This window comes from Homo sapiens, chromosome 6 (genome assembly GCF_000001405.40).
Source record: "Homo sapiens chromosome 6, GRCh38.p14 Primary Assembly".
Lineage (NCBI taxonomy): Eukaryota > Metazoa > Chordata > Mammalia > Primates > Hominidae > Homo > Homo sapiens.
Genome location: NC_000006.12, coordinates 101,610,315 through 101,632,545, shown reverse-complemented (window position 1 = coordinate 101,632,545; position 22,231 = coordinate 101,610,315). Strand labels below are relative to the sequence as shown.

General features: G+C 32.7%; 1 protein-coding gene across 8 annotated transcripts in view, besides 1 other annotated feature; it reads right to left on the bottom strand.

Moving 5' to 3' along the window:
* The window catches only part of GRIK2 (glutamate ionotropic receptor kainate type subunit 2), a 676,376-nt gene that overhangs the window by 437,538 nt on the left and 216,607 nt on the right, over nucleotides 1–22,231 (bottom strand). For 7 of the 8 annotated variants that reach the window (XM_047418681.1, NM_021956.5, XM_047418682.1 and 4 more), the window contains 2 exons: nucleotides 10,430–10,597; nucleotides 5,909–6,166 (listed from right to left, as the gene is read on the bottom strand). In XM_047418681.1, the coding sequence (XP_047274637.1) occupies nucleotides 5,909–6,166; nucleotides 10,430–10,597 (426 nt within the window). Of the gene's footprint in view, nucleotides 1–5,908; nucleotides 6,167–10,429; nucleotides 10,598–12,282; nucleotides 12,776–22,231 lie in introns of those variants that run through there. The other variant, XM_005266946.5, reaches the window with a different exon arrangement.
* Nucleotides 17,102–17,965: an enhancer, noted in NCBI's record as "OCT4-NANOG hESC enhancer chr6:102062456-102063319 (GRCh37/hg19 assembly coordinates)". NCBI's record gives its function as "activates a minimal SCP1, AML or CMV promoter by ChIP-STARR-seq in naive H9 embryonic stem cells {active_cell/tissue: H9 hESC(naive)}" and the evidence as "EXISTENCE:reporter gene assay evidence [ECO:0000049][PMID:30033119]".

Below are 22,231 nucleotides of genomic sequence, written 5' to 3'. Positions count from 1 at the left end.
TCTGAAAATTATGGCTGAATCTATTTATTCCTTGGCAAGTAGTTAAAGGCTACTTAACCAAATTTGACTTTGGCAGAATACTTAACTCATTGGAATTATCTTGCTTAAAAATGGATATAACACATCTTCCTATTATTAAGAAGTATTAAGGTACTTCCACAACCAGGCAACATTCTAGATGCTGGTGATAAAACAGTGAGCAGCCTTAGGGTTCACCCTGCTCAGATGTGTGGTTGATCCAGTAGAAGATCCACCCAAGAAAAGCCATTCAGAGTGTGATAAGAGTTCTCATGGGGGTGGGGATGGTCATGGGTGTTTCCATGGTCCTTTGGGATGTGTTTGGAGAGACCTATTCCAGACTTGAAAGCAGGGGTCAGGGCAGCCTTTCTTTGTGACACCCAAGCCGGATGGTATGCCTGAGTGTGTTTGTGCAAATGTGCACATGTACGTGTGCACTTCATGGCTAGGAGGAATAGGATCAGAAAGAGAGCTTCCCAGGTAAACAGAAGATTATTTTCAACAACTAAAAGGTGTCTACTGGCTCAATTTGAAATAAATTAGTGGGGGATTTGGACTCAAATATCACTGGACAAGTATAGGGGCTACATCACACTAAGCATTGTAAGTCTTCTTAAAAATGCCTTAGAGGAATGAGAAGCTATTAAGAGGGAAACAGATCAGAATTGCATTTTTAAAAAAATTACACTAACTGCAATGGAGAGACTAGAAAAAGGGAGACCAGTTAGAAGGCTGTTAATCATCCAGCTGACAGAGGGAGGTGATTTTGACCTAAGAAGTGGTAGGGGGTAGGAAAAAAATAAAAGATTTGAGAGATCATACAAGTATAGAATTGACAACCGATTGTTGTCGAGCCAAAAAAAGAAAAGAATCAAGGAAGATGTTCATGTTTCTAGTTTAGGCTCTGGTGAGCAGGAGAGCCAGTCACTGGAGATAACAGGTATGATGTCATGATCACCTGTTTCCTTTGGGACACACAGAATTGTTTTGAAGATTAAGTGAAATAGTTTACGTGACAGCAACTAACACAATGTCAATTCATAGTGCATTATAGCTCATTTCTGCAGGCATTTCCATTCCCTTCTTGTATTTTCTGAAGTTGTACCAGTAATTTAGTAGCAAAACTGGGAATAGAATCCCATGCTTCTGTTTACCAGTCCAGAGTTTTTTTGTTAATGGACTGCTGATCTATAAACAAAGATGAAACACAGGGATTTTAAAGCAAATATGAACAACTTATTCTGGAATTGCTTACAAGCTGTCATCTAGCCAACTTATTTTTAGTTTATATTTAAAATGAATCATATGTTCCAAAATGACTGACAGAAACACAGCTTTGTTTCTGAAGCCAATTCTTTTCCATCATTTTTGGACATCATTCAGAGCTATAACAGACTTTCAGCGTGTTTAAAAGCATTCATCCATGACAACAACAAATGCTAATTATCGTAAAAAATAAATAGCTCCTGTTAACATCATTTTAAGAATTTATCCTATTCCAGCACTATATTTCATTTATCATCCCATCTGTTTTGGGGGTGGGAACAAAGACTGGATGAAAGTATAATTATCATGTATCAAACTGGACAACACAACAAAAAAGAAATGAATACAAATGGGAGCAACAGCATACATAATAAATAAATATGGAAAGGAAAAAGGAAATATGTAAAAAAAAAAGCACATGTGTGTTTTGCAGTAAAAGCAGATACATAAGTCCATCATAAAGACAGTAATGTTTATTTTATTGTGTATGAGGTGGAGTTTTTCCCATTTCAGTTCACAGTAAATTTCCTATCACATCATCAAATAGTCATCTTGCTCTTTTGAGAAGCTGACAAATTCTCTTTGCTGAATTCTATCATTAAAACTATACCTTGCAAATATTCACAAACTATGCATCAAGCAAAGGTCTAATACCCAGAACCTATAAGAAACTGAAATAAATCAACAAGCAAAAAACAAATAACCCCATTAAAAAAGTAAGCAAAGGACAGGAACAGATACTCCTCAAAAGAAGATGTACATGCAGCCAACAAACATATGAAAGAAACGTTCAGCATCACTAATCATCAGAGAAATGCAAAACAAAACCTCAATGAGATACCATTTCACACTAGTCTGAATGGCTATTATTAAGAAGTCAAAACAATAAATGTTGGTGAGGTTGCAGAGAAAAAGGAATGCTTGTACAGTTTGGTGGGAATGTAAATTAGTTCAGCCATTGTAGAAAGAAGTTTGGAGATTTTTCAAAGAGCTAAACATAGAACGACATTTGACTCAGCAATACCATTACTGGGTATATACACAAAGGAAAATACATGATTCTATCAAATAGACACATGCATGCATATGTTCATTGCAGCACTATTCACAACAGCAAAGACATGGAATCAACCAAGATGCCCATCAATTGTGGATTGAATAAAGAAAATGTGGTACATATACACCATGGAATACTATGCAGCCATATAAAAGAACAAAATTATGTTCTTTGCAGCAACATGGATGTAGCTGAAAGCCATTATCCTAAGTGAATTACAGAGGAACAGAAAACCAAATACTTCATGTTCTTATTTATAAGTAGGAGCTAAACATTTGGTACATACGTACATAAATCTAGGAAAAAATAGACACTGGAGACTACAAGCGTGGGGAGGGAGAGAAGAGGTTAAGGGTTGAAAAACTATCTATTGGATACCCTGTTCATTGGGTGATTGGTTCAGTTGTACCCAATGCTCAGCATCATGCAATATAGCCTTGTAACAAACCTGCACATGCACTCCCTGATTTTAAAATGAAAGTTGAAAAAAATTCTACCTTGAGACTTTGACACATAAACAAAAAGACAAAAAGTCTACTATATATTTATAAATACATTTCAAAGGGACTTTTCTGCCTTCGAGTCAGTTCTATCATATTAAATAATCAAAGTTCTCAAAAATGCTGTAAAGTAAGAGGCAACAATTGGTCTGTTACAAGTGCAATTATCCCATTGCAAATAGTATTAAAAATATGAGTTATTACATGTCCCTCAATAGGGATTAGAAGCTCAACAAGGGCTGGGCCTTTGTTTCCTTTAGTGGCATATAATTCCTTTCGTGGCATTTAACTCTCCCTGGCATGTATCAGTTGATAATCAAAATTCATTGAATTAAATGTTGCATAAAATGGAACAGCAATATGTTTTATTCTTCAGAGGATTTCAAGACATATTTATTCTATGAATAATTCTGTAACAATTCTAAGTTAGCATTACCACTTAACTAATCAGACTTTTCAAATATCCAACTGTCTATGTCACCTTCAAAGCCAAGGGAGTGGCAAAGTTTCCTTTAAATAGTAACGAGTAACTAAATAGTAAGCATTTTAATAAATTTGAGGTCAGGACTCCATTAAATGTATATAATCAACTAGCTATACATATGTCCCTATTTATATTTGCCTCAATGATATAATTGAGAATATAATTTAAAGCAGGAATAGAACAAATACATGAGGCTGTATTTTACCAAATTATTGTAGGACCTGATTGCAAATCCCATTATCTATTTAGTGAATCACTTAAGACCCACATATATTAAATAAAAATGCCACACATGTGCATACACGTAGGATTGTGAATAAAGTTAATATGTCTGTAGACATTTTGAATACTTGTCAATTTTCTTCTTCCTATGAGGAGTTTAAGGATGATAATTAATACAAAATATCACATGTATGATGTACATACCTGTGTGCATGCACATATGTATATAATGTATACATTATAAGGATATATGATGTTTGGACAACCTATACATGAATTACATCAGGAAGGAATGGAGAAGTAAACAATCCACAGATTAACAATGCACATGTATCTATATTTATATAGTTTTGTAGATGACCATCCATAAACATAAGTGGACCAATTTGCAACTGAGGATCCCTTGGATCATTTGATTACACATACTCACAGAAATCATTCATATAGAACCTGACATTCAAAATTGGAACACAGAACTTTACCAATGACAAAGAAGTAATGATTTAGGAAGAAAGCAATATAATAAATTTAATAGGTTTAATTTGAGCTAACAGAGATCAAACATACTTATTTTTAAGGACTCTTAATAATGTATTCCTAATTTTTAATTATTTATAAATATTTCACATTTTAAATAAGAAAACAAAATTACTCTAATTTGTATCTAGATGCATTTCACTCTTTCTTATCTAATTGAAAATGTTTTTGAAATTATTTTCCCTTTTTTTAATCCTGTAGCTCCCAGTTTCCTATTCCCTTGAAAGAGTTCTTATCTGTCAATTTGCAGATGACCAATTTTATTGGCAAATGGGCAAATTTCTGCACAGAGTTCTATATACTGCATGCATGAACAAAATGTGCTCCTGGCATACTTTGAGAGAATTTAAATTCAAATGAAATTCAATCTCAATGTAATTATGAAAGTATAGCGAAGTGTCCTAAAATAAAATGTTTTTATGTTCTAATTTAAAGAGCACTGTTTATATTGTTGATAAACATCTTAAAGTAAAATTAATTATCACTCTATAGTAAGCAAAATAGTATGCAGCTGCATCACCAATGTAACTTTCAATGAAAATTAAAATTTCATTTTTGTTACTTTATTGTATTTCTCTGAGACTTGTTTTTAACTGATAATTCAAGATAACCATTTGTATGCAAAAATAATAAAATGCATTAACATAAGAAAGCAGACAACCTGTAGTTAGCAAATATTTATTAAAATATTCCTTTAACTCACTGAAATAAATATCATTTAGTAAATTCTATTTTCTAAGTCTCTAAATGACATCTACACAAAAGCAGTTCCACAAACTTGAGTGTTTCAGTGAATATTATATTGTTCCACATATGAGTAAAAACTTTTCTAACCTTAACATGCCTTATAAAGTTTGTTACGTTTTATATGCATTCTTTGCACATAAACAGCCAGATAAAATAGTAAGGCATAATTCTGAATTTCTTGGCAAGTTTCACTGACTCATCACAAGGCTTTGCCTTGAGAAACTACCCTAGCAAAAACTTCATAGCAGAAAAATTCTTTAAATAAATATTTCAGAATGGGTCCAGTGGCTCACACCTGTAATCCCAGCAGTTTGGGAAGCCAAGGCAGGTGAATCTTTTAAGGTCAGGAGTTCGAGACCAGCCTGGCCAACATGATGAAACCCTGACTCCACTAAAAATACAAAAATTAGCCAGAAGTGGTGGCGTATGCCTGTAATCCCAGCTACTTGGGAAGCTGAGGCAGGAGAATCGCTTGAACCTGGGAGGCAGAGGTTGCAGTAAGCTGAGATTGCACCCTTGTATGCCAGCCTGGGCGACAGAGTGACTCTATCTATCTGTCTATGTACACACACACACACACACACACACACACACACAGAGACACACACACGCACACACACACACATTATTCAATATGATCTAAATTGTTAGACCATATTGTTTTTGAATAAATTGTTTTTGAATACATGGATTCTTACTTTTTAAATGACTGGAATTCTAAATATATATATACATATGTGTGTGTGTATGTGTATGTGTACGTGTGTGTGTATCTATCTATCTATCTATAATATTGTTTACTACATCTATCTTTCATCCAACCTACCAAACTAGCTGATCTTTCACAGGAATAAAAAAATGCTTATTTTACAAATACAGAGAAGAAGTATTCAACATAGGTATTCTTTGTTTGGATATGTGAAATTAGGATTGGTGTTTGATTCTGTCTTTCTACCCCTTAGCTGAATTTTCAAAACTCAAAATAAAGCACATAAGAATACAATAAGAACCTGGAATGGGCTTCAGAAAATTATCTATATTTAAAGCATAGCTCCAAAAGATACTGATTTTTCTTACCAGTGCTGTCATCATACACAACCGTGACGGTTTTCCACTTGAAAAACTGCACCAGGTCTAAAATGGCACGGCTGAGTGAAGAGAAGTCTGGGTAGAGACTGACATAGAAGGAATCTTTGTTGTCTGACACCTGGTGCTTCCAGCGGGTCTGTATGTGGGGAACTCCCAGAGCATTGCAGATGGACTGCACTGCGTTTGCTGATGAGCTGTGTGAAGGCCCGAAGATGGCAGCCACCCCAAGAGACAGCTGATCACAGGCTGAAGAGGAGATAAAGGTCTGTCAATAATGAGAGGAGAGGTGCCAGTGTGCCAACAGATACCACATTATTATTTTAAACCCAAAGGTATCATTCTCAAGAAAGATTTGTGTTTTTAAAAAATATATATCTACTTTTCACTAATTTAAAATTTTGTCTGACTCTGAACACTTTCCGTTTGTTACAAGGGAATTAACTCACCCTGCAGCTCAATGTTCAAATAATTCTATAAATAATGTCAGGGGAGGGAGACAGGCAAGGAGAGAGAGGATGAATATTTTTTAATTTAAGGGGGCAGTGCTTGTTTTGGAAGACTAGTTTATATGAGGGGAATGAGGGAATAGTGCAGCTTCTCAAATTCACTGAACAGTTTTTACATTTTCCATTTCTTAATCAAAAGCCACATGGTTCCCCCTTTACTCGTGCAATTAGCTATGCTCACACACAGATGAACATTTCCACCTATCTGATGATACATGTCGGGTTATGCGAACACTCAGCCACACAAAACCTGCTATAGCTCTTAGAGAGTGATTTCATATGGATCAGTCACACTGAGTAGAAAAACAGAAAAGTCATTAGACAAGTACTCAGTCATCTTTATATATTTGGCTTTTGGATGCTATAAGTGTTTTCTATTATTCTATTTTTTAAAGTTTGTATTTACTCACAGAAAATTTTATTCATATCAATAATAACCACAGTAATTAAGAAAGGCATGAACAAACTAGAGGGTATTCAGATTAAAATAGACTGTGCCATGACCTGAACTTTCTATAAGGCACACTGACACAAATAGCGAGCTTGGGCCTAGAAAGTGAGTAATTATTGGGAACACAAAACTTATCTTTAAATATATGAAGACCTGGCATGTGAAAGAAGCTTAAGTTTGTTTCACTTGATGGGCAAAGGGGAATTAGAAAAAAAATAGAAGCTTCCCCTGAATTTTTACCCACTTCATATTTATTTATTTATTTATTTATTTATTTATTTATTATTTATTTTGTTGATATAGAGTCTCAGTCTGTCGCCCAGGCTTGAGTGCAGTGGTGTGATCTCAGCTCACTGCGACCTTTGCCTCCCGGGTTCAAGCGATTCTCCTGCCTCAGCCTCCCGAGTAGCTGGGACTACAGGCACATGCCACCAAGCCTGGGTAATTTTTTGTATTTTTAGTAGAGACAGGGTTTCACCATGTTAGCCAGGATGATCTTGATCTCCTGACCTCGTGATCCACCCGCCTCGGCCTCCCAAAGTGCTGGGATTACAGGCATGAGCCACCACACCCGGCTATTATTTTTAATTCTAAATAATGGCCTCATGCCATGGTTCACACCTGTAATCCCAGCACTTCGGGAGGCCAATGCAGGAAGATCGCTTGAGACGAGGAATTCGAGACCTGCCTGGGCAACACAGTGAGACCTCCTCTCTACTAAAACAAAAAGAAAAACAAAAACAAACAAACAAAAAGAAACAAAAAAAAATTCAGCTGGGCATGGTGCTGTGTGCCTATAGTCCTAGCTACTTGGCAGGCTGAGGTGGGAGGATCACTTGAGCCTGGGACATTGAGGTTGCAGTGAGCCATGATGGTGCCACTCCTGGCCTACCTGGGTGCCAGACCAAAACTGTGTGTCAAAAAAAAAGTAAACCATGTTGAAAAATGAAATAGTCTTCCCCAAGAGGCAATGGTTTGCCCATCACTGCAAATATTTAAAGGACAGAGAAGGATTGTTACTGAGCTTTAGGCATAAATTAGGTGTTCAGACTCAATTCCTCCAAAATGGATAGTTTATTATTCTACCGTGTGAAAATTTCTGCTATTTTCCCTCAGTTTTCTCCATAAAATATAATATTATACGTGAATTAAGCATGGAAATATTTAATAATTAAGTAAATTATTGTCAGAACACTTGTTTAAACATTCTTTAAAAATCAATATGATCTAAATAAATTGTTTTTAAATACATGGATTCTTACTTTTTAAATAACATGTGGAATTCTAAATTAGTATAAATGGTGGCTAGACTTGAGAATTTTTCACTCAACATGAGATTTTAATTCATATATACTGAAGATAAATGATCTTCCTTCACCAGGTTTGTGACAAATCACAAACCAAGAAAAGCTAAAAACACTGAATTAAGTTATTTAGAATGTTTCTAAGTGTGTTTCAAGCAAGATTAGAGCTTTCGGTTATCAGAAGAGTTATTTAAAAATATATGATTCAAACAATAATTCAAGCTCTAATACATCAAAGTATTTATTAATTGAGCAGAACAATACTACCCTTTAAAACTATAACAGAAAAAAATTAGATAAAATGTCAAAAGGTAACATCTCATTTATTATTATTTTCTTGCATTGGATAAATAATTACATTTTTAAAATATCTAAAGTTATTTTATAATTAATCATTAACAATATTATCAATATATACATTTCTTGATAAAGTTAAAAAAATATTGGCTCTGTTATATTATGTTTTTATGTATTGCTGTGTCCTCCAAGCAGTAATAACTCAACAAACAAGAGATTCAGAAGATAAAATCCAAACCATGACATTCACAAAGACAGTTATTCATACACTTATTTCAGCTTTTCCTAGCTTCAAGCCAAAGTGAAATGATGGATTTGATTCCCAGTGAGTTTTTATTGGGTAACAAAGCTTGTAAATTTCTTATAATATTTTGGTCAAACCACATGACTTTATCAATTCATAATTTTGCTAGGGCATTCCCAGGATAGTACTCTGTTGTGAGAACATCCGAACCTGTGTTTTTTTATGCTGTTCATTTGAAATCACCATTAAGAAATCTACTAATATTTTATCTATACTGCACTCATACTCCATATTCTTTGATCAAAATGCTTTCATTAGAGGCAGAACTTCTTCTTCCTAATGGAAACAATCATGAACTATGCCACTAATCAAATGTAATAGTCTTGAATTAATGATTTATTTTGCAATTATGATGACAAATGTAATATTTCACAGTTACCTTTAACCTTTTTCTCAGTCTTCAAAACCTTTCATCACCTGACAGGCTCTGAAATGTGGAAACTTATTTGTATTCATAAAGATATGAATTCAAAGGGCATGCAAAGTATGGCTTTGATAAACACTACTTAGCTGCTGGGGGAAAAGAAGGATACTTTCATCTCGAGAAATACTGTACCTTGTCAGCTACCATTAATATTAATGAGCTTAAACAATTTGCACTAACCTGGAATTATAAATAATTATGTACATTTCCACCAATATAAGGTAGCTACAGTAAAACCATATTAGCATTACAGAAAGGCAAACATTGTTTTAAAATATAATGTTAGAACAAACACTTTATAAGCCTTTTCCTTTGAGAAAAATCTTTATTATAAAATTTAATTCCTATTATATAAATGCTAACTATGCAAAAGAAAAGATCACCTACTATAAGATTATCTACATATATAAGAAAAGATCACCCACATAAGACTATAGAAGCACCTCTCAAACACATTTACTACTGACAGCTGTCTGGTTAAAATAAATGCTTTAATAATAGTTTTCTCTATTGCCTTCCTTCATATATAAATATTAAATTTTTATTCCACCAAATTATTTTTCTTTTTATTCTTTTTCTATATTTTTGACATTTACAACAGTTATAACATGAAAATAAAACTCATAAAGTATTCTAATTATGTCCTTATATAATTCAGTTTTTACATAATCAGCCATTTATTTTCAGTTACAAAAAGAAATATTAGATGGTTAAAATATGAGCATGGAATATACATAAACTAATGGTTGTTTAAAATTTTCCAATTAAGTTTCAATATATGCTGACATTTTGAAGTCACTTAGAACCACATAACTTTCAAGGTAGCCAATCAATTGAGACCACAGTAATAATATAATGGGATTGAAAGATAATGCAAATAAAGATGTAAGAATGGATTGCAAAATTGGTAAAATCCACTCATATAAATTTTATATTTGTGGGTTCTTAAAAATAGGAATGCTTCTATAATAAGATGGAAGGATCAATAGAAAAAAAATTTCACTAACAGATGTAATTGTATTTCATGTTATAAGCAGATTTTTTGCAAGAGGAATTATACTTTATCTTCTCTGATAAAATTTATATGCATTTTGAAAATAAATCTTTGCATGCAAATATTCCTAACAACTTATTAACTGTATGTTGAAAAATAAAAAAATCTCTTAAGAATACCTAGAAATTTGAATTCCAGGAAACAAAGATGTTAAAAATCTATCAATTACCTTTCTTGGATGCTTCAAAACTATCATAAAGGTTTATCTTCTGGGTATCATAGGTAAGGGTAGTATTGGGTAGCAATGTTCTGTTTCTGTTAATTGTGTTCACAGCAAATCTGAATGCAAGTTCCTCAGCTCCCATTGGGCCAGATTCCACATATTCAAAAATACCACCTGGCAAAAAGAAAGAGAAAAATCATAAATTTTACAAGAATAAACATAATTTTCACAAGATAAAGAAAATATCAGAAGTTTTCTGTACTTTTATATATGTGCAAGTGCATTTGCGTGTGTGTGTGTGAGAGAGAGAAAGAGAGAGAGAGAGGGAGAGATTTAAGTACATGGGGTGTGTGCTTACTTTATGAACTTTGGGATATTCTCTTTTAGCCACAGCCATACTGGTAAAATTGCCTTAGTATTGCTGCCAAAATTTAACATGATACAAATATGATTTGGACTTTTTTTCTTTAGTTATTACTTATTTTAGGGCCTAGGTATAGAGAGGTCTTGACTTAAGTACTGAAATTTATCCCCCCCAAAATTTGTAAACAGTTCCAGAATAATCAATCCTCTTCATTGATATATACTATAAAATTAAGCATTGAAAAAAATGTGTTAAATTCCGTCTCCATTCAGAAATCAAAATTCTTTTAAACAATTTTTTTTCTTTTTTAAGACAGTCACTCACTTGCCCAGGCTGGAGTGCAGAGGAGCGATCACAGCCCACTGCAGCCTTGACCTCCTTGGGCTCAGGTGATCCTCTCACCTCAGCCTCCCCAGTAGTTGAGACTACAGGCGTGTGCCATCATTTCCAGCTAATTTTTGTATTTTTTGTATAGTCGGGGTTTCACTATATTGCCCAGGCTAGTCTCAAACTCCTGGGCTCAAGCCATCTGCCTGCCTTGGCCTCCCAAATTGTTGGGATTTACAGGAGTGAGCCACCGTGCATTTATTGTGTTAAAAGCCCAAATTATTTGCAAATTTCAGCATCTTACTTGCGAGAAAAGAGAGTTAGCATTTTGCTAGTTGCTTTATTCTAAGTCCCTTTTAAGAAGACACTTGACATTTATGAAGGATGCCTCTCCAAAACAATGCAACTCCTTTAATCAATGAATAAAACTAGTATATAATTTTGGCCATAGAGTATAATTTTAAAATATGTCCCTTCAATTTGTGACCTTCCACCAGCTCTGTCTCATTCCAGTTCCCTCACTCTTGTCACAACCTTCCTTCTCTCTAATATCATTGCTCTCTCGTTAGCTGGGAGTGACCCAACTGAGGCCTTTGCCTCCAAAAGAATCATTGTTGGTTTGAATAATGAAATAAAAGGTGGAGCATCTGATTCCTAATCCCCTCCAACCTCTGTCCTTAGGAAACAAGTACTTTAAAAACGCAGAACATTTATCTTTCTTCCTTTCAAATTTCACACCATGTACTCCCCGTACAGTCATTCATAAATTAAACTTTCTTGAATAAGCTATTCCACATCTAGCAATTCATACCTCATCAAAGATATTTTGACACATGAATGTCAGGTGACTATACTATTAGCAAACTACCTATTATAAATTAGTAAGAAGTCGTAATGTTGTAACAATTCCTCTAACTATGAGGAATTAGGACTCAGAATAGACTAGAGGGGTGAGGCAAATTTACATTCAGGAACAAGATAAAAAATATTATTTGATACCATATTCATTTGAAATATTTCTCTTATTCTGGATTTTAACCAATTTAAGGGTGTACTTACTAAAACAATCAACTTGTGAAATGGCACTCAATATATTTGAAGTCTTTGGTGACTTATGTTAAGCAAAAGGATAATAATTATATGTGTCTAATGGGTGTAAAGAACTAACCTAGATTCCTTCTGTGTATGTGGAGAAGAACAGTGGTATTCTTCTTTACTCTCTACCCTTATATATAACATTTATTTGGAGCTAGACCGGGTTTAACATTCTGGATTTGCCAATTGCTATCTGTATAATTTTGGGCAGTTGCTTAAAACCTCAGTCTGAGCTGCCTCATCTCTGAAAGAAGAATGACAAGGGAGGTTACTGCATAGAATTGCAATAAAGAATAAATGTTAGCATGTACAAAACATTTAGAGTGGCTGTCACAGAGTAAGCACTCAACAAGTATTTGAGGTCACAATGAACCTTCAAAGCCATCCAAAATAGCATTATTTTACAGGAATTACCCCTCTGGTCAAAGATCACATAGCTATCAAGTGATAGAGCCACTAGTAGAATCTGCTCATGCCTGACTTCAAAACCCTTGCCTGTTCCACTACAAACTAGTAGTTTTCTGCAAAATTTCAGTCAGGCAAAATATACAAAACTTCCTAAAATGTGAGATAAGATGACTTAATAAGACGTAACTAAAAATGTAAGATCTTATATATGAAACAGAAAAATAGTTAACTAATTGTAAGGTACTTGTAAAGTTAAGTAGAAATAAAGAGAAAATTATAGAAATGCAAGCCTTAAGTGGTTTCTTGCTGGCAAATAAAACAAAAAACTGAATCTTCTACTTTTTTCGTTCAAAATGGTAGTTTCTATGTAATAAAAGTATGCAATAAAGATCATATTTTATAATATTGGATCAATATTTTACCCAGTTATAATATTGAATCAATATTTGATGATACTGAATTGAAACTTTCTTATTCTTTATCAATCTTTAAAATAATAATTCAAATTCGACTTTAAGTTTACATATTTATCACAAGTTTGAATGTTTAAAGAAATCTTTTTATTTCCTTAGGATAACCCATTTTCCACCTTAAATTAAAAAATAAATAGCTATATTTTATTAATCCAAGCCAGAGTTTAAAATTTTGTAATAAAAACATCCAGATAACGCAACCTTTTAAGACAAAATATAACCACCCAACAATGTTAACTAAAGAAAAGAGATAAATCATGAATAGCTTATTACCCCTTGTATGTGGAAGGAGATGAAAAAAATCTAGTAAAGAATTGGTTTCCAAATAAAGTTAGATTGGTGTTACAAACTATTGAGGAGAAAGAACTTTTTAATTCTATTTAAAAATTCGGAAAATCTTACTATCATCCAACTTAGTAATTGTTCCAAGAAGAAAAAAGTAGATTCACCATACTAGATAGTATAAATGCAATTGATAATTATTTTTATTTAAAAATACTTTTTTGGAAAACAATAAAATAATGAGACTTTATTAAGATAAAAATCACGAATGAACAGTAAATTTTATATATAAGAGGAGGAAGTTCCATTAAGGTCAGGAAAAAGATAAAATGTCTACAATATCCACTCTTCTTTAGTATTTATTTTCATTTCATAACATATAGAGAAGAGATACAAATGTGTTTTGCCAAATATGTTTGACTATATCAATGAAAATACCAAAATTGAAAGGATTTATCACCAACAAGCCTCCACTAAAACAAATACTAACTAAATCAAGTTCTATAGGCAGGTTATTGATTACAGAGGAAGCCACTACATTGCTTCAACATGTGAAGTATACGAGAAAATACAAACACATGGGTGAAAATCAATAAATTTGGACTATAAAAAGAAAGAATAGGAATGACTGATGAAGTTTATGTTTAGAATTAAAGTGTATGGTAAGTATAATTAAAAAAGCAAAAAATGCATAAATAGAATTAAAGGATTTTAATGTTTTAGCAGTATTTGGAGAAATACTATGTTCAGAAATAACTGAACATAGTAATTCAAGAATGCATTTTGAATTCTAGGACAAAGACTAAACAAATAATGAAATAGTATCTGATGAAAAATTAATAGAGAAAAATAGATAAGTAGAACACAGAATCCATAGTTTTCCATCTATATAGACAACAATATTAAAGTGATAATACTGCAGTTCTAATAAAAAAGGATTGTATTTTCAATAAATATTTCTGGATTAAGTAGATAATTATATAGAAATTATTTCAATCATACATTGAAATGTGACATTAAAAAATAAAGTTCAAAAAAAAGCTAAGAGAAGATGTTTTAAAAGAAAACAAAAAGTGATGCTTATAAAGGTAAAAATGTGACATATTAGACTTTCTTAAAATTAAGAACTTCCTAATCAGAGACACACACAAGACACACACTCAACAGACACACACACGTGTATATGTGTGCCATAAACAAATGACAAAACACACACACACATATATATACACACACATATATATATGACATTTTCTTTATATCCTATAAGTAGAATTAGTGGATTCACACATATATACACACATTTAGTAGTTTCACGTGTGTGTGTGTGACAGAGGGAGAGACAGAAAAGACTTCTCTTTTAAAGAATCTACAAAAAAAGAAAATGGCAGTCAAACCAACAGAAATATGGGTAGAAAATTTGAACAAGCATTCCCCAAAAGATAAGTTGAAATGGACAATGTACATAAAAAAGTGATCAATTTCATGGTATTATGGAAAATGAAAATTTAAACCACAATTTGAAACAATTTTATATACACCAGCATGGCTAAAATGAAAAAGACAAACTGGCTCAATCAACATTGAAAATTGAGTGTCTGAATCTTCTACCACTGAAAATATACAAACTCTGTGACACAGAAATTTCACTCTGGGATAGCTGATAAACATAAATCTGTACATAAGTTCATCAAAGCATATGTGCAAGAATATTTATAACAACATGGAAGACCTGCATCAATAAAGAACTACATGCAATAACATGAGATGAATCTCACAAACAAATGATTGAGTGAAAGAAGCCAGACACAAAAGTATACTGCTGCATGATTTCATTGTTCAAAAAGTTCAAAAAATGTTAGTGGTGGGAATAGCAGTAAGAAGAGAGCATGATGTGCTTTTGGGATGCTGGTGATGATCTGTTTCTTAATCTGAGTGCTTGGATACTTATTACTAGAACTTTACTTGTATCATGTGTGCACTTTACATAGATCATTCTTTAATAAAATTTTACTTTAAAAAACAATTGTATGAAAGTGCTAAGGCCTTTCTAAGTTTGAAAACACAAGCAGTAAAAATAAAGGCAATATTACTAAATGTAGCTTCAATATTTGAAAAACATCTATGCATCAAATATAACGAAAGACAAATATGAAAATATATGAAAGTATATTAAATATAATACATTTTACAAGAAAATAATATATTCAATAAAAAAACTAGCTACTGAAAACACAACTCCAGTAGAAAAACTGGCAAAGAACATAAGTAGATAATATTCATAAATAATAAATGCAAATAACCGCTAAATGTAAGAAAATGTTCAAAAACAGGAAAAGGGAAAGGTTAATTAAAACAATGAGATAGAATCTTTATGAATCAAATGTATTGAGGTGTAAGAAAGAGCACAGCTGAATAGAAAAATAAATCGACACAAACTTTATTGAAGTCCTTTTTTTAAATCTATCAAGCTTTAAAAATATCACACACTTGAAAGCACTAATTCTACTTACAGGATGGAAACTTAAGGAAAATGTCACTGATTTAGCTGCAAGGATGTTCACTTCTTTATTTATAAGAACACAATGATTCAAAATTTTCTAAGTATACAATGGTAAAAGACTTTTTACAGAAACTATGGTAGATATACTTAATAAAATACTATATATTTAGCCATTTTAAAATTATTCTATAGAAGGTATTTCATGACAAAATGCTTCAGAAGTAGTTATAATATGCCCTTATGCATAACAATATATTAACCTTGGTTCATTTTAGATGATAGGCATTTGATTAATTTTGACTTTCTGATTTTTTATTTATTTGTATAATTTAAATAGCTAACAATGGAAATATGTTAATCTTGTTATTTAAAAAAATGAATATTCTTCAAAATGAAGCTAGAATATTAAAGAGTAGCAGAAAACAGGACAGTGAAAGGTGAAGATAAAATCTCAGGGTGTTTGTGTCTTTGCTTCATTTATAATGAGAAAGACTTAACATATTTATATGCAGAGGGAAAGAACCAATAGGAAGAGAAAGCTAAAAGGTAGAAAAGAGAAGGCATTAGTGATGGAGCCAGGTGTCTCAGGAAAAAGAGAGGATCAAATCCAAAGCATGGCAAATAGGCTAAGCCTAGGGGAGGAGGACACCTTATTCACTCCAGCAAGAAGCAATTATCTGTAATCTGCAGATGTGAAGATGGGCAGGAAATCAGGGGCATATATACTTCATGTATTTTCTTTGTAAAGTGAAATATAAGGCTCTCTATATTTGATTCTCTGAGGAAGATCTCAGCTGGTTTTTATAATTTTAAAAGAACATCTTTGATTTTTAAATTGCTATTATAAAATTGAATGGCAAAGCATTTTTTCCACCTGTTCATGAGCCTGCAAAAGGATAATTGTTCACATGATTTTAAACAAGATGTTTTTCTTTCCTATGACTTGAAAAAATAATATCCATTTTGTACTGGGAATCTTCTATAAAACTGTTTTCTCCTAGAATTATTCTTTTTATTATAATGTCAGGATTGTACATAGTATTTCATAAGCATGTGATCCATGAAGAGATAATTGCTCTCCTGAGAGTTCATAAATCATGTTTGATGGATAAAATATATCTCAGAATAATAAAGGACTCATAAGACCTATATGATCTTAAAGAAGCATCTTAGTAATCAATAATTTTGTGCTCTTTCTAGACTTACACCAAAATTCAACCAGTTTCACATTTTCAAGAATCTGGAGACTCCTGTGTAGTTATCATCTAATTCCTTATTCTCCATACAACACAAGCAAAATGTACTGCTTTCTCATACTTACCTTGAACTTTTTAGGTTCAAAACATCATCTAAGAAAATCATTCTCACAGCTTTATCATTGTTTTATTTCTTAATTCAGGAAGGGCCATCATATCTCACATAACCTCTATATCAAACCATAAAATGCCCGCAATTCTTTTTCCAAGCTTATATTAAAAGTTAACAGTTCTCTTCACTACAAAAGGCTTGTTAAAAGAAGAAAAAAAGAAGGAGAGGAGAATACCTTTCTTTTTCATGGGCACAATTGCCCTCCTTTGTTTTGTAGATATAGGAAACCAAATGTCAAGTGATCCCTGGTTTACACAGAACACTCAGTGCTGAAACTTTTCACATCACAGTCTCTGACTCACAAAAGAACTTCACTACTTAAGACTTGAAATAAAAGATTAGTCAACTGCTAAAGCCTAGTCAATGCCTTTCTCTTTTAAATCAATTGTAACTACTACTGAGGACTGTATGACTCATAAACCCATGATGGATGTACCAACCAACGTCACATCTAACCTCTGAGACTTTTCAAATAGGTCTTACCTTAAAGTGAGTACAATCTGTGTTTTGTAGACTTTAATTTAATAAAGAAACTGATGTTCTAAATGGCACACCATCTGTTATCCTCCCAGAAGATATGTTGATTTTCTCCATCAAATGTTATACCAATCTTATTTCCTGTCTAAACAATTGCAAAAGGTTCCTCTGCATTTTAATTTTGTACAAATCATTATCCAAAGGACAAAATCATCAAGCTTCTTTAATTTTTATACAATATAATGCCAAAGGACAATGTTACATTGGCCTTTGGCTATTAAATGACATGCCATGGATATTAAATGACATTAGGGTATCATTTTTTTCTCCTTAGGCAAAATAATGATATAGTGGTTATATAAGAAAATATCCTGACTCTTAGGAGATCAAGTCTTTAGGTATGAAAGAAGTATCATAAACAAAAAACTGGAAAAATATAAGCAATTGTTTAATCAAAGTGCTTATGAGTGTTTATTTATACAATTGTTTGAACTTTTCTGTATGTTTAAAAATTCAAAATAAAAGTTTGGGGGGAAAAGAAAATGGACAAGAAGAAATAAAACCCCAATACTCATTTTGTTCTTAATGCATATTTTTAACAGACTTCTCAAAATGACCATTAAATTAACCTGCAAATATTTACATGTACTATGCACTAAAATTGCACTATTATCCTGAGTGTAAAAGATGGAGTCTAAGAATCATACAATCTGTAAATCATCTGGTCTACTCATCATTCAGATACATAGATTGCCTTTATTACTACACATTGGCCTCCAGGAATGACAAACTTATCATCTGAAGCAGTCCCTCACCTCTCTGGAGAGCTCCAGCACAAAGTTCTCCCATATATTAATCCATCCCCTGTTTTCCTAAAGTTTTTAATCATATCTTTTTATTGAGATACATTTAATCCCAACTTAAACATGATTATCTTCCAGAATTTGAAAACATTTCATCTTCCTACTGCGTTTCTTTCATCTAGCCTAACACTTTGAAATTGTTTAACTGTTTGTCACATGACTAATCTGATCCTTTCGTTTTTCTAGTTTTTTTTTTTTTTCTGAACACAGCCTAGTGTGTCCACAGTTCAATGTTATACTCCAAGTGTATCCAAGCAAAGCAAATTATGAGAGAGTGGCCAGCTCCATAAGTTAATGTATTATAGATAAAATACTGGATTTTTTTAACAGTACAGTATCACACTGCTCATTCATCTTAAGCTTATTGTTTAAAAAGTTTATGTTTGTGATGTACTTTTTTAAAATTTTTTTACAAGTATCCCTGATTAATATCTTTTACTTACAGTTGGTCTAATTTTCTAATTAAAACCACTTGGGGCCTAATTCTATCATCAACTGTTATTATTAACTTATTCAACATCTAATGTATCAAGGTAATTTACTAATATTACAAAGGTATGTGAAATGTGTTTCTTTACCTTCTGCCTTTAGGTCATATTCAGTTTTGCTTTTATATCTAAGTCAGTGATAAAAATCATAAGCCAGAAAGAGTTAAAGACCAAGCAAAGCTTTAGACCATAACCTCATAGATACCCCACTGGAGTCTGTCCCTATTGTTAAACTAGGTAATGGTCTTCTTAATTATTCTAGCTAACAGTTTATAGATTCCCATCATTTCTACAGGAATGTCACTGTAAACCTTTTCATATGCTTGACTAAGTCCAGAAGTTCTATGTCTTCCACACCACAACAATGCATCTCCACTGGATTTTTCATGGATACTTGCACCTATTCTAGCTTTTTTCAGTAGTTTATAGCTACTACAATCAAAGTCATTTTTATAACGTGAAACATTGATCTTATTATTCAACTTCCTAAAATCTTTCAATGACTAATCTTTAAGCTTAATGCTATTTACAAAGTTTTTCATAATTTGTCTTCTACCTTCCTTTCCAACCTCTTTTCTTACCACTCCCACTTCCCCAGTCATACAGCCATATTAAACCACTTACCTTTACCTGATTGAACCAAAATCAAATGCCTCCATTGCTTTCCAAACAGGGCTCATCTGCCCAGGAGCCCAGCTTCTTCTTACTGACCTATGTACCTACACACACACACACACACACACACACACACACACACATTAACACATACATCTGTAAATTTATCTCTCATTGTGAGCTTTTGAAATAGTCACCTTTTCTGGGAAAACATTCCTCACTGGTCCTAACTGCACTGAACTAATTGTGTCTTTGCTTTATGTGCTCAATGTTCCAGACCCCTTTCAAACATAATGCAAACTCCTGCAATTTGAAGCTAAAGAAATTTAAATAAGTATGAAACATGTTTACACCTAAGCTCAATCTCATTGAAGAATGAAAGTTCCTAACAGTCAACATTTATTGACATCATACGCTACATCAGGCACTGTGTATTTTACAAACATTAATAAAAAGTCATCAAAAAGTTTATTTGACTCACGTTTTCTGTCTTTAATCTATTTCCCATCAAATAAAATTTATATTTTAAGTCTGAATATAATAATATTTAAGTTGTCCCAATTACTGAGTCTAAGATTTGTTTTTCTTCTTTATGTTTCAGTCCTGCAAGGTAGATTAATTCTTAGTCCAAAGAACCTGCTTCACTGAGCTTATTGAATTCTGCTTTAGCAAGACCGTGAAACAGGTCTAGCATCCTCAGTGCCTTCCTAAGGTCAGTTACACAGTTGGCAAGTGATGGATGCTGGATTAAGACACGAGGGACCTCAGTCCAGGCCCCATCTTTTAATTGCCATTCTGTATTGCTTCTTGCTGGGTAATATTGCCACTCTTTATCCTCAACTTCTGGCTATTTTCTCAATAACTTTCCTCTTTCTAAGTGGTAAATACTTTGTTTCTTTGAACAAATTCTAAGAGTTTTATGTCCATATAAACTATGACTATAACAATTTGAAATTAATTTTGTGTGAAGTTGGTGAGTGCCTAAATGTATGCTGGTTAAAAAGTGAAAACAAAAATAAAACATATATACATGTGACCCGTGGACACACCATGGAAAAATAAATAAGTAGGTGACAGCTTCCCAAAAGGTGATTATGTGGAAAGTATATAGCGTAATGTACTCATTTTCCAGGCGAGGAGGAGTGTCTGGTCTCCACTTCACGCTGAAAAATATCTCCCACCCTTCCTACTTGCTTTTGAGTCATTTGAGCCATGAAACAACAGGTATTTTTGATTTAATAAAAAGACTGGCTCCAGTATTTTCAACCTTATTTCTAATGACAATAACCTTCTTCATTGTTGCTAAGTTATCTCATCAAAGCATACACATTAGCACTTTGTCAATATTTCAGGTGAAATAAAAACTATACAAATATGTAACCAATGAAAATTTTGTCTGCAGAATGTCCTGGAATTTTCGAAGTTCTAGCACTCTCTGCAGTTCTTCAACTAGAGAAGACGTTAAAGGTCCACTTGCATACATCTTCCTACATCTATCATATTCTCAGACTTGTCCTGGGCATTTGAAAAAAAGAAGTTGCTGATACAGTCCAGAATAAAGAATATGAGTGAGAAGTCAGTATATAAACTGAAATCAAGTTGCAGGAAATAGTGTAATAGCCCCTTGACAAAGATTGGTTGTTTTCTGGCATGTAAATGTGCTTTCTTATTTTAAAAATAAATAAGCTTTTACTTGACAAAGCTCCTACACTTTCCAACATTATTTTTCAGTAGTGGATGGAAAATAAGTGTTGATTTTTCTTTCTATAAATGGACCATTAAAATCCAAGGGAGGACTTCAAAATACACATGCAAATAATATTAATTTTAAAGTAGAGGCACTGCACACTGAGAAGAAAATTGGGAAATGGCTACTTAAATGTTAGCAATTTACAACCAAGAGGGCCTGCATACTGATTGGGAAGGCAGACGCTTGAATAGTATCAAGATATAAATAGAACTGATCAAACTGAGATAACAGGAAAGGTAGTCACATAATTATAATATAAACAGTATAAATAATACCAACTATTTGAAGGTAAAAAGCATGTGCTTAATCGTACTTATTTAAAAGAAAATAGGTCAACCAAATGAAAAGAAAAGGCGAAAAGTGACTGGATGAGCAAGCCTCTTCACTCCCCAGACCTCCATCATCTCTTCTGCAAAATGAAGGGATCAGGTGAAATGATCTGAATATCAGAGATTTATAACACTTTAATGATTCTAAAACTGCCTTAAGAACTGCACAGTAAATTGTGGAAGAATAATGATTCTGAATTTCAGATCTGGTTAAATGCCAGTCTTTTGCAAATATGGGACACTTAACTCTCTCTTTTGCAAAAAATACATTGATGTGAGAAATCATCTGCCAAAATATTATGAAATTCAATCAATAAAATATAGATGCAAATATGTTTTGAGTTTAGAAAGATGATTTAGATATCATGAGTTTAAAATGAAAGTATTAAACATTCTAGAGTTTTAATCCAGAAATAGTAATTTAAAAGATGGCTAGCAAGTTAATATTTTATAAAAATGCAAATTA